The sequence below is a fragment of the Homo sapiens genome, chromosome 9, assembly GCF_000001405.40.
Source record: "Homo sapiens chromosome 9, GRCh38.p14 Primary Assembly".
NCBI classification, from domain to species: domain Eukaryota; kingdom Metazoa; phylum Chordata; class Mammalia; order Primates; family Hominidae; genus Homo; species Homo sapiens.
The window spans coordinates 93917147-93929256 of record NC_000009.12 but is presented as its reverse complement, the minus strand read 5'-3'; the positions used below and the strand labels follow the sequence as shown (position 1 = coordinate 93929256).

At 53.5% G+C, this 12110-nt stretch overlaps 2 annotated features.

The window, feature by feature from the left end:
* Window positions 7427–7927: an enhancer, noted in NCBI's record as "H3K4me1 hESC enhancer chr9:96683612-96684112 (GRCh37/hg19 assembly coordinates)". NCBI's record gives its function as "activates a minimal SCP1, AML or CMV promoter by ChIP-STARR-seq in naive H9 embryonic stem cells {active_cell/tissue: H9 hESC(naive)}" and the evidence as "EXISTENCE:reporter gene assay evidence [ECO:0000049][PMID:30033119]".
* Window positions 8829–9329: an enhancer, noted in NCBI's record as "H3K4me1 hESC enhancer chr9:96682210-96682710 (GRCh37/hg19 assembly coordinates)". NCBI's record gives its function as "activates a minimal SCP1, AML or CMV promoter by ChIP-STARR-seq in naive H9 embryonic stem cells {active_cell/tissue: H9 hESC(naive)}" and the evidence as "EXISTENCE:reporter gene assay evidence [ECO:0000049][PMID:30033119]".

Genomic DNA, 12110 nt, shown 5'->3' with positions numbered 1-12110 from the left:
TTTAAATCATCACTCTGCTGCCCTTATCTTCAGCCTCTCCCTTCTCTATTGACCACTTTCTGGTCAGCTCTTAAACATGAGCAAGTCACAACCATTTGTAAAATACATCCTGCTGCAACCTTAGAGTGCCCTCCCGCTAGTCAGCTGTGTCTTGGCCCTGTGGCATACTGACTTAGGTGGCTCTCAATGAGCCATGCTTCCCGTGCTGACTCTGGGCTTGGCCATGTGAGTAGCCTGGTCCATGGGCAAACATGATGCAAACAGAAGCTTAATACACACTAGCACCCTGGACTTGTCCTTTGGGAGTGCTGGGTCTTGACACTTAGCAACCATGCCATAAGGAAGCCCAAGCAGCCACATGGAGAGAACCTGGGGCTGAGAACCAAGATACTCCTAGCCAATGGCCCAGACCAACTGCCAGCTGTACGCACAAGGCCATCTTAGCACTCCCAGCCACCCCAGAGCCCCAGCAAAGCCCAAGTAGGAGTCACCAGAAAAATAAATTGTTATTTTAATTGTTATTTTGGCATGCTTTGTTACCCAGCCGTAGAGAACCAGCACACATCATTCACAGCTAAGCTTCTTAAGGAGTTGCCCTCCCCAGCTGTCTCAGGTCCTCTTCCTCTCGCACCCTCTGCACCCTAAATCTGGCTTTGTCCACTAACATTGCTCTCACTAAGTCACTGTGATGGGCTGAATTATGTCCCCAAGATTCATATGTACTGGGAGTTCAAGCTCGAACCCCCAGTACCTCAGAACGTGACTGCATTTGGAGGTAGGGCCTTTAAAGAGGTGATTTAGGTAAAATGAAGCCCTTAGGGTGGGCCCTGATTCAGTACTGCTGTGCACGTAAGAAGAGGAGATGAGGACACAGGCCCACACAAAGGGATGACCATGTGAAGGCACAGGGAGAAGATTCCACCTGCAAGCCAAGGAGAGGCCCCAGGAGAAACCAACCCTGCTGATACCTGGACCTCAGACTTCCAGCCTCCAGAATGGTGAGGAAACAAATGTGGTCGTTTAAGCCCCCAGTCCGTGGTGCTTCATGATGGCAGCTGGAGCTGGCTGATCCAGCCACCAGTGATCTTCACGTCAGCAAACCCAGAACTTGCAGTACCCATGGGCAGTGTGCAGCAGTGGTCCGCGCAGGCTCTGGCTCTAGACCACCTGGTTTAGATCCTGCTGCTGCTGCTTCCGAGCTCTCAAACATAAGGCAGGATTCTTTCACCTCTATGTGCCTTAGTTTCCCTCCCTGTAAGATGAGGCCAGTGATACAACTACCTCCCAGGGTTGTAGTGAGGAGTTAACAAGTGAACACACCTGATACCTTACCTAGATGGTGGCTGTCACCTCTTGACTATCCACAGCAGCTGGCCTCCCTCTCCTCCTGAAATACAGCTCCCTGATTCCCAACCCCTGCTTGTCCAGTGTCCTCTGTTTTCTTTTTAGGACCTTGAGGCTTCAGGCCAGGGCTCCCTAGGGGTCAGCCTTCTGCCCTGCTGCTCTCACTCTAAACCACCCCCATGCCAGTAACTCCCAAATGTGGACTCCTGACCCAGGCCTCGCCGTGATTTTAGCCCGTAGAGCCAGTTTCTTCCTTGAGGCCCCCTAGATGTCTGACGAGTCCCTCAAACTCACCATGTCTGAAGCCAGACTCCAAACCTTCCCCTGAACTCCTGCTCCCCAGCTCCCTACTGTAGCAAATGGCATCACCACCCTGAGTCTCAATGGATCATCATCTGTCCCTCTGCCTTCTCTGAGTCCTGTCCTGTCTATGGAGCTTGCCGCCTCCCCGTGGGTTTCCCCGTGGCTCTGCTTTTCTCCTTCAGTTGCTGTTGGCAGAATCTCCCTGAAGCTCAGATCTGATCTTGTGCACTGATTAGTCTTAAAAACCTTCAAGGGTATTCTATTTGACCCAGCAATCCCATTACTGGGTATATACCCAAAGGATTATAAATCATTCTACTATAAAGACACATGCACATGCATGTTTATTCTAGCACTATTTACAATAGCAAAGACTTGGAACCAACCCAAATGCCCATCAATGATAGACTGGATAAGGAAAATGTGGCACATATACACCATGGAATACTATGCAGCCATAAAAAAGAATGAGTTCATGTCCTTTGCAGGGACATGGATGAAGCTGGAAACCATCATTCTCAGCAAAGTAACACAGGAACAGAAAAGCAGACATTGCATCTTCTCACTCATAAGTGGGAGTTGAACAGTGAGAACACATGGACACAGGGAGGGGAACATCACACACCGGGGCCTGTCGGGGTTGGGGGGCAAGGGGAGGGAGAGCATTAGGACAAATACCTAATGCATGCAGGGCTTAAAACCAAGATGACAAGTTGATGGGTGCAGCAAACCACCATGGCACATGTATACCTATGTGACAAACCTGCACATTCTGCACCATGTATCCCAGAACTTAAAGTAATATAAAAAGCAAAACAAAACAAAACAAAAAATCCTTCAAGGGCTCCCAGGGGCTTTAAGCCTCAGCCACATTCTCCACACAACAGACTCTCTGTACTCAGCCCCAAGTAGACACACTCTCCTGCCCCAGGGCCTTTGCACAGGCCACTCCATTTGCCTGGAAGTCTCTCCCCACTTCCCTTCCTTGGTTAATTACTCTTTTTTTTTTTTTCCAGACAGGGTCTTGCTCTGTTGCCCAGGCTACAGTGCAGTGGTGCGATCACGGCTTACTGTAGCTTCAACCTCCTGGGCTCAAGTGATCCTCCCACCTCAGCCCCTTGAGTAGCTAGGACTACAGTTGTACACCATAACACCTGGCTATTTTTTGTATTTTTAGTAGAGATGGGGTTTCACCATATTGCCCAGGCTGGTCTTGAACTCCTGGACTCAAGTGATTCACTTGCCTTGGCCTCCCAAAGTGCTGGGATTACAGGTGTGAACCACTGTGCCTAGCAGTTAATTCCTGTTTATCCTTCCACACTCTACTTGAAGATCATTCTCTGCAGAGCCTTCCTCAACAGACCCATCAGGGCCTGTCATTCATGGACATGGCTGTCCCCGTGTCTCTGCTGGGACACCTGCGTGTCATCACTGTCATGAACAGAGTCATGATCTGAGTGGGCTGGTGGCTCTTCCTTCACACACAGTGTGGTGGCTGTGTGAGCAGTCACGCTTTTATCTTGTCTATGGCTGTATCCTGAGTCTAGCACAGTGCCTGACAAAGAGCAGGTGGTCAGAAAGGACCTGTGGGAGGCTGTTGAAGGAGTAAGGCTTCAGGTGACAAGGACTGAGCAGAAAGGGCAGGGCTGGGGCGGGAAGAGAGGGACACTTGCCCAGCGCTGGGGTGTCATGGAGGAGGGCGATGGTCGGAGGGACTGTCCCTGTTGCTTTCTCCTGAATCTCTCCCTCTTACTCCCTGTCCCCTCTCCCCCGTCCCCCTCTTCCAGAGCCCTGGTAGGAGACCGAGAGTTTCCACTGCGGACTTGAAGCATCCGAACCCTCCCCCTACACCAATGGCTTTGGTAATTGTTCTCACAACCATGTCAGTATCGAACAAACAGATGTTTATAGTTAATCCCTAATTTTGCCATCAAAAAATATACAATCTTGGGTAGAAACTGAAGAGGAAAGAATTTTTTAATTTACAGTGTCTCCCCACTGCCCCACTCCTGAAATTTGAAATTGCTGAACGGCCTCCAAATTCAATATTCCAAGTCAAACAAATGTATGTGTTCTCCAAAAGGAAGTATTGGGTATCTGACCAAGATGGAGCGGGATAGGAAAATCAGAAGAGGGAAAAGCTGCCCGCCCAGCTGGGTCCAGCATGCAAGCTACTTCCAAGAACGCCTCTTTTCCGGTGTTTGTTCGTTCTTTCTTCTGTTCATTTTTTTAATGAAAGAAATGCCTCTGTGTGTTGGCCTTCCTCAGAGGAGCTCTCAGGCAGCGGTCAGAGAAAGCAGACCCTGCCTTTTTGCCCTCTTAATGCCCACCCTCTGCTGGTGGGGGTGAGGCCTGGGTGCTGGCTTTGGTGTGGTGCAGCCTGTGCCCTTCCTGGGGAAAGGACCCATGGGACATTCATGACAAGTGCTGTGGTGAGGAGCCTGATTTCAGTGGGAGGTCAAGGAAGGCTTTGTGGAGGAGGAGACACTAGATCTGGGCCTTGAAGGTGAAGCAGGAGGTCACCTGGTAGGGAGGCCCGGAGAGCTAGGATTGTAGAAGCCATGCCCGCAGGAGTAAGGGGCAGCCATGGGGAAAGGCCTGAAGTGCCTGGGGCTCGGCTGTGACTGTGTGAGCCCTAGGAGGCTTTCAGGCAAATGGTGGGGCACGGAGGGCAGGCACAAAGGGTGGACCGCATCTGGGAGTGTGCTGAATGAGTGCGCTAGACCACCAGCTCAGGTGTCGGCCCTCCTGGAGCCTGCCCCATGTGCTCAGCTGCAACTTGCCCCGCCCTCCCCCTACTCCACCATGAGGTAAGCGGCCCCGTGTGACCCTTCTCCAGTCTCCTAGAAGGCCTGGGCCAGACTCCATATCAGTAACTGAACATGGAAGGCCACGATCTAGATTCCTTCCATGCCACTCTTCCTCCTGCTTCAGTGGCTCTCCACCACCTGCTCCTGCTCAGCCATCCTGCCCGGCATCTGGCCAGGCTTTTGCTGGGCTGCCTGGTTCCTTAGCCATAGCCTCTGACCCTAGACTTCTGGGGCCTACTTTCTTGTCAGAGATCCGGGATGGCAGGGTTTGTCCTCACAGTCAGTCTTGGAGAAGCTGGGGTGGCCTCTGATTTACAGATGGGGAAGTTGAAATTAAATGACCTGCCATGTTAACAAAGACCCTGTTGGTTACCAGTGACAGAAGCCAACCCCAACTGGTTTAAACATAGAAGGGGACTTCTTGGCTTGCATAACTGAAGGGCCCAGGAACTCAGGCAGCTCCAGGGAAGGGAACAGGTCTTCAGCTGGGCACTGCCCCTTCCCCTGTGGTGGCCCAGGCCTGGTAGGAGCCCTCTCAGCCTGTCAGCAGCCTTAAGTGAAAGCCTCTTTTTCCAAGAGTCCGAGAAAAGGCCTAGGAGGAGCTCTGACTGGAGCTTGTGGTCACTGCTGTAACAGTCACAGTGGCGGGCAGGTCGGTGCTGGGCCTGCTGGGACAGACCTGGGCATCCCAGGGCCTGGATAGTCCCTTGTAAACCACATAGGCTGAGGCTGGGGGCGTTCTCAATGACAATTGGTGGCTGCACCTGAAGGAGAGGTGCCAGCAGGTGTCCATAACAGTTACTCACAGCAGTAGGGCCAGGATTTGAACCCGAGCTCCAGGTGGAGCGTAACTGTGTTTATATGAATATAAATTTGTTTAACACATCTTTTTGTTGTTTGTTTTTTTTGAGACAGAGTCTCACTCTGCTGCCCAGGCGGAATACAGTGGTGCAATCTTGGCTCCCTGCAAACTCCACCTCCCAGTTCAAGCGATTTTTGTGCCTCAGGCTCCTGAGTAGCTGGGATTACAGGTGTGTGCCACCATATCCTGCTAATTTTTGTATTTTTAGTAGAGATGGGGTTGCACCATGGTGGCCAGGCTCGTCTTGAACTCCTGACCTCGTGATCTGCCCGCCTTGGCCTCTCAAAGTGCTGGGATTACAGGCATGAGCCACTGCACCCTGTCTGTTTAACACATCTTTTTTGAGCATTGTGACAAGGGCTAAACAGTTATACCTGGATTGCAGCACTTGCCATTCAGGGACATTCTTACGCAGCGGAAGCACCTGGTTTGTAAGCCTGCCCTGTGCTGAGTGCTGTTTCCCATGATGGGGTCTCATACCAGTTATTACTGCCACCACCCTCTTGGCCCTCCAGGGCCCTCCCCTATTAATGTTCCATGTTCAGACATACAAGCTTCTCTGTCAAGGTGTGGCCCAGTTTAGAAAAGGACAGAACATTTAAACAAGGCCTTAAGAAAGGCTGGAGCAGCACTAGCCAGTGGAAGTTTCTCCAGTGATGAAATGTGGCTGGTGCCACAGAGCTGCCTCCTGTGACTCTGACCTGCATCCAGCACTGCCCATATCAGCGGAGGAGTCTGCGCCGGCTGGCTGTGGCACTGCAGGGATGTGTGAGCCAGGCATTAACACAGTCGTTATGAAAAGTCAATTATATAAATGTACAATTAAATGAATTATATATGCTGTTTTAGAACCAAGGGTGGCTGTGCTGCTGTTATCCGTGCTCTGCAAGTCCTGCTGCGTGTGCACCTGCATGGGAGGTACGGCGTGACGGCTGCCCCTGGCCTCTCTTCCCAAAACCGTGCTCAGTGACTGCATGTTAGTAGTTTAAAACCGGCCACAAATGTCGTGGAGAGCTGTAAATACTACAAATCAAGGCTCAATTTATTGTTTGATAGGTTGTCTAAATGAAGGGTCTGCAAACTTTGCCACAAGAGGTCATATTCTAGGCTTTGCCGGCTACTTATGGTGGCTGCTGCACCTGCTGTCACCCTCTCCCCTCCCTCTTCCTTCTTCTCTGTCTTCTTTCCTCTTCTGCTAAGGCTCTTTGCAAATGTTAATACTATTCTTAACTCGCAGGCCATAGGCTAGATTCGGCCTGAGAGCCTTTGTTGACAAACCTATGGTCTGAATGGAAGAAAATGATGGGGAAGATGTTGGTAATGCAGATTCAGGTTAAAAGTGCCCTGGATCTGAAGCCATTGCATTGTGACTAGCACAGGAACAGAGGCAATGTCCTTCCAGCATTTGATTCGGCAAAGAAGCCATCCGGGTCATCAATGGCAAGTGAAATTTTAACACTGACCTTTGTAGTTCTTTCTTACTGCTCATTTATAGATCTCTGATGCAACCCTGGTGCACAGGTGGTGCACCGTTGGCTGGCCTCCTCCTGTCACCCCTGCCACTTGCTGTGCATGGGGGCCCTCTGTCACTTGCTCATCAGGAGCAGAGGGGGAACCTGAGGCTCAGATTGCTCTGGGTCACAGGGGTTGATGTGTGGGTAGGGGCCTGACACTGTCAATATGCCCAAGCCCATCGCTGCCAACCACAGCTTCCCATCTCAGCTACCACAGGCCGGACATCAGGTACAGGCTCTTGGTTTGCCGCGTTTCTAAGGTTGCAGCAATAGCAGTCGGAGTGTGGGACCTGAGATTGACCATCAACCTCCATGCCGGGCTTGGGTGCTCAGGGGGCTCCATGTTGCCCTTCAGTGGGGACATGGTCAGAGTCCTATCCAGGAGGACCACTGCTGCAGAGAGATGCTGGAGGTGGTGAGGGCAGAGGAAGGTGATATGAGAGCTTGTACTGAAGTCCGGGAGAGAGGTCGAGGCCTCAGCGGGGCACAGCGATGGTGAAGAAAAGGTGGCTTAGAGCACGAAGAGGAAGGTCCGGTGGGGGTGCTGTGTGTCCCTGAGCTGACAGGAGTAGTCAGGTTGGGCCCCTCCATCCTCCCACGTGGGCTCTGCCCTTGTTGGGCTCCCTGAGAGGCTGCCGGGGCTGGGTGGGCACATCTGGGTGGCATGTGGGGGAAATCCCTGCACTGGGCGGGAATTAGAAGCTCCTAAAGTCCTCTCGTTGGCACCCTCCCAGTGTACGGCACATGGCTCGGGGCTCAGGGATGGGGACCTGGAGGCATAAGGCACCGTCCATCTGTACCCCAGGCTCCCACACAGGCCGGGGCAATACATAGGGGCCAGCATGGTTGTCCCAGTCTAGTCCAAGTCTCTCAAACACAGAGATTAATCAAGTGCCATCCTAAGGCCTGTGGAGAAACTGCTAGCTCTCTATTGAAGTCTCTTCTCTCAGGGGACAGACGCAGGGTCCATGCACTGGGTGTGGTTTTGTGTTAAGACAAAATGATGGGGTCATGGCTTGGCCTGGCCAAGTCTCTCGGGTCCACCCCCTTCCTGCTGGCGGAGTCCTAGTGGTGCTGATGCAACTTGGAAACGCAGAGGACTATGAGCCCAGGATAGGCGAGCCCCTTGGCCAAAACAGCGCAGGCCCCTGGGTGTGGAGCAGAGTAGCAGGAGTGTGGGGACAGATGCCCCCAGCTCTCCAGTTCCCCAGCAGGAAACTGAGGTTCAGAGAGGGGAGAGTCAGGCACAGCCAGAACCCAGACCTGAAGTTGCTCCAGCATTGCCCGCTGCTCCCCAGAATCCTTGCACATGGACAGCTCCTGTCCACCCATGTGCCTCCAGGCCATGGAGGTGTCCGCCAGACCCTCAGACTCCAGTACCTGGGAAGGAGGGGTGGGGAAAGGAGTGGTTCTGGGAAAAGTGGGGGCTGAAGGAGTCTGAGGTGGGTACACAGGTTCAGAGAAGCAGAGCTAGGGGATCAGAAAGAGGGCAAGACCTGGATATGCGGAGACAGAGAGGCAGAGACTGAGAAAATGGAGAGAGACAGGGAAGGAGAGATGGAGGCAGAGAGAGAAAAAGGGGCCTAGAGGGAGAGAGGCTGAAAGAAAGAGAAAGAGAAAAGGACAAAAAGAGACAGAAAGGCGAGGCTCCTGAAGATGAGGGGCCTGCATGCAGGGGGAGTGTCTGGCCTGGAGGGGGCTTGGAAGAGGACAGCTGGGGGTGCGGGAGCAGCAGCCATCAGCCCAGCCGGGCCTCCGCTCTCCTGAGCCACCCTCCTCCTCCTCGTGGGCCTGGGGGCCGTGACTGGCCCAGGCAATCTGATATCCACCAAGACCCTCCCCAGTCAAGGACGTGGGAGGCGCTGCCCTGTCTCCAGTACTGCTGTCACCTCGTCAGCCCCAGACCTCCATCCCGACACCCTCAACGTCCCATCACCCAGCACCTTCTTCACTCCTGACCCCCAGAATCTGTTCCCCCAGCATCCCCTCACCCCATCACCCGTCACCGTGTCCCCATCATGTCCTGGGGCAGGGGGCTGGCAAGAGGCGGCATGGCCAGACCTTGCCGCACATGTACCGGATGAGCTTAATTACTGCGAAACCTAATTCTTCAAGGCTGCGTGCACCGGTCAGTGGGGACTTGTGCGTGTTTTCCTTGGCTGTCTTCTGACAACAGGATTAGGGGAAGAGAAAAGTAATTGGGGCGGGAGTGCTGCAGCCCAGGAGGGGCCCTGCCTGCTGCACCATTCAGCAAACCCCACCAGCACTTCTGGGTGCCAGCCTTGGCTGGACACTGGGCCCGGACTGGGTCTTGGCCTCGAAAAGACTGATGTCGGAGCTGGATCGTTCTCCCGGGTGGGGGTGGTCCTGTACACTTCAGGGTGCTGAGTGGCATCCCTGGCCTCCACTCTCCAGATGCCAAGAGCACCCCCTAAGTCATAACAACCAAAAATGTCTCCAGATGTTGTAAAGGGGACCCAAACTTGCCCCCGTTTGAGAAATGCTGGTAAGAGACACCTCAACTCTGCTTGGAGGGGGTTGGGGGACACAGACACTGCACAGACTCAAGGGAGATTGGTGAGTGCCAAGGGACGGAGGGGGTGCCCACAGTAGAAAGGGTGTATTTCCACTTGGGTTGGGGAGGTGCTATTTGAAGGCTGAGTTGAAATTAGCCAGCTTGGCAGGGCGCAGTGGCTCATGCCTGTAATCCCAGCACTTTGGGAGGCTAAGGCAGGCAGATCACCTGAGGTTGGGAGTTCGAGACCAGCCTGACCAACGTGGAGAAACCCCGTCTCTACTAAAAATACAAAATTAGCCGGGTGTGGTGGCACCCGCCTGTAATCTCAGCTACTTGGGAGGCTGAGGTAGGAGAATCGCTTGAACCTGGGAGGCGGAGGTTGCGGTGAGCCAAGATTGTGCCATTGCACTCCAGCCTGGGTGACAAGAGCAAAACTCCATCTCAAAAAAAAAAAAAAAAAAAAAAGGCAACTGGCCAGGTGGGAGAGGGCGGCAGAGGCATTGCAAAGGCCGCCTGGCCAAGTTGGGAGGTGGAGGCAGCCCTTGCTGGGCAGAGAGCTGGGGAGGGGACAGAAGGGGCACATGAGGCAGAGGTGAGAAGGCCACGCCCAAATCTGGGAGGGCAGGTGATGTCTGTGGACCAGGGTCTCCATGGTGGGGTGTGTACAGCCCAGGGGTCAGGTTAGGGGTGGTGGCAACAACAAATATTGCATTTTAAAATCTAGAGGCATGGGAAAGAAACTGGGCATGACTACTGTTAAACTCTGAAATGCGGCTGCGCCCTGTCTCTGGCACCTTCTTGCAGGTCCTCATAGGGAACTTTGTGGGTAACATTATCCAGTTTTAACAGAACCAACGTGACCCAAGATGGGCAGCTGCCTTAAGTCAGGCCAGGGCCTATTGAGACAGCATCAATGACACAAGCCCTGGAGATAGTAACGTTTCGGTGGGAGCCAGGCTCCCTTGGGGGTCCATGCAAGTTAGCTCAGTGTCCACAGAGCAGCCCTGGGTGGTAAGAATGATTGTTAGCATCCCTTTTCCAGGTGGTGAAACTGAGGCACAGAGTGGTGAAGCAACTCTCCCAAGGTCTCACAGATCCTAGAGGCCACCCTGGCTGTGAGGACATCTGCATCAGAGCCCCAAGCTCACCGAGTCCTCCATTCAGATAGGGCTTCACGCTGAGCACCAGGCTGCCTAAACTTTTGCTGCACATCCAGATATTATCGAGTGGGAGCAGGATGGGCAGATCTTTTCCAGATAAGTAAACCTACCCATTGGGTGGGGGTCCCGAAATTCCTTTCCTGGGGTGGTTTCGGCAAAAAGAATTTGGAGTTGAGCGCCCTAGGTGATGAGGGAGGGTGTCCATCATCAGAGCACAGGTCTCATTTGGGCGTGAGAAAGGCGGTGGGGGTGAGTTGAGAGGAGAGGATTTGATCTCAGTGAGGAGTGCCTAGGGTACAGACTGCATGGGGATGGGGGATGGAGTCCACACAGAGGCTTCTGGAAGTGAAGGAGAGGTGGTGGCAGGAAGCCCAGGCCCTGGAGCACAAGATGTCACCTGTCTCAGCACCAACGGTCATTGAGGGGAGGAGGCGGGTGGCCGAGGAGTCGTGGTCGGCTCTCAGCCATGGAACTCCCCCTGTGAAAGACCCAGGCGCAGGCTTCCCAGGGCTCAGGTTGCTGCTAGTTGAAGCCTCTTCCTGGGAATCCACCCCTCCCAGGTCTTGATTTTCATGCCTGGTAAAAGCTGTTGGCTCCTTCGGCAAGTCAGGGGCGGGAGTGGGGGTGGTGGGGCAGAAGGTTAGGGAGTAGATGGTGTCCTGACTCCAGGCCAGTGCCTCCCTCCACTGTCCTTTCCACGGAGCTGGGCAATGCACCAGGATGTGACTGGGCCTCGGGTGGATGGTCCGGGGAGCAGGGGCTTCTGGTGCTTTGTAGCACATCCCAGAACTTCTCCCAGAACTGCCGCCAGATGCAACATGTCCCTAGCTCCTGGGGCACTCAGTAGGAAGCCTCACAGGTGTGCCAGCCCTCTGGCTTCTACCCTCTGCCTTCAGTGAGCTTTTGTCTGTTTGCTGGGGGCTCAGGGAAATCACAGCACATACACACACACTCACACTCACACACACACTCACATGCATGCACTCACACTACATTCTCATATGTACACACACTCACATGCACACATTCATACCACATTCTCACATGTACACACACACTCACATGCACACACACACTCACATGCACACACTTGCTCACACACACATGCACACCCCCACACTACATCCTCACATGTACACACACAAACACACAGGTCCACACACACGTTCTCACATGCACAAGCACTCACACACCTGCACACACAAATTCACGTCCTTCAGCACTTTCGGAGTGCGGAGGCCATCACGTGGTGGAGGACAGCATTTGGAGTCATGTGACCTGAGGCCAGTGTCTGCTCACCTTTGTCCCAGTTTAGATCCCAGGCCCTTTGAGACTCGATTTTCTCATCTCATTGAAGGCATCGGAAATCCAAGTCCAAGGCTGAAGTGTGTAGCTGACAAATCCAGGATAGGTCTGCCTTCAGGCACAGCTGGATCCAGTGGCTCCAGTGTGCCCCTCTCTGCCAGCTTTATTCTCAGATGGTCTCTCCCCTTGCAAAGTCAGAGCTGGCATGGGCACCTAGGGAAGACTTGTGTCCTCTCAGTGGTCAGAGGAAGGGGCATGACCTCTTTCCCACCGACGCCAGCCGAGGCTCTGAGT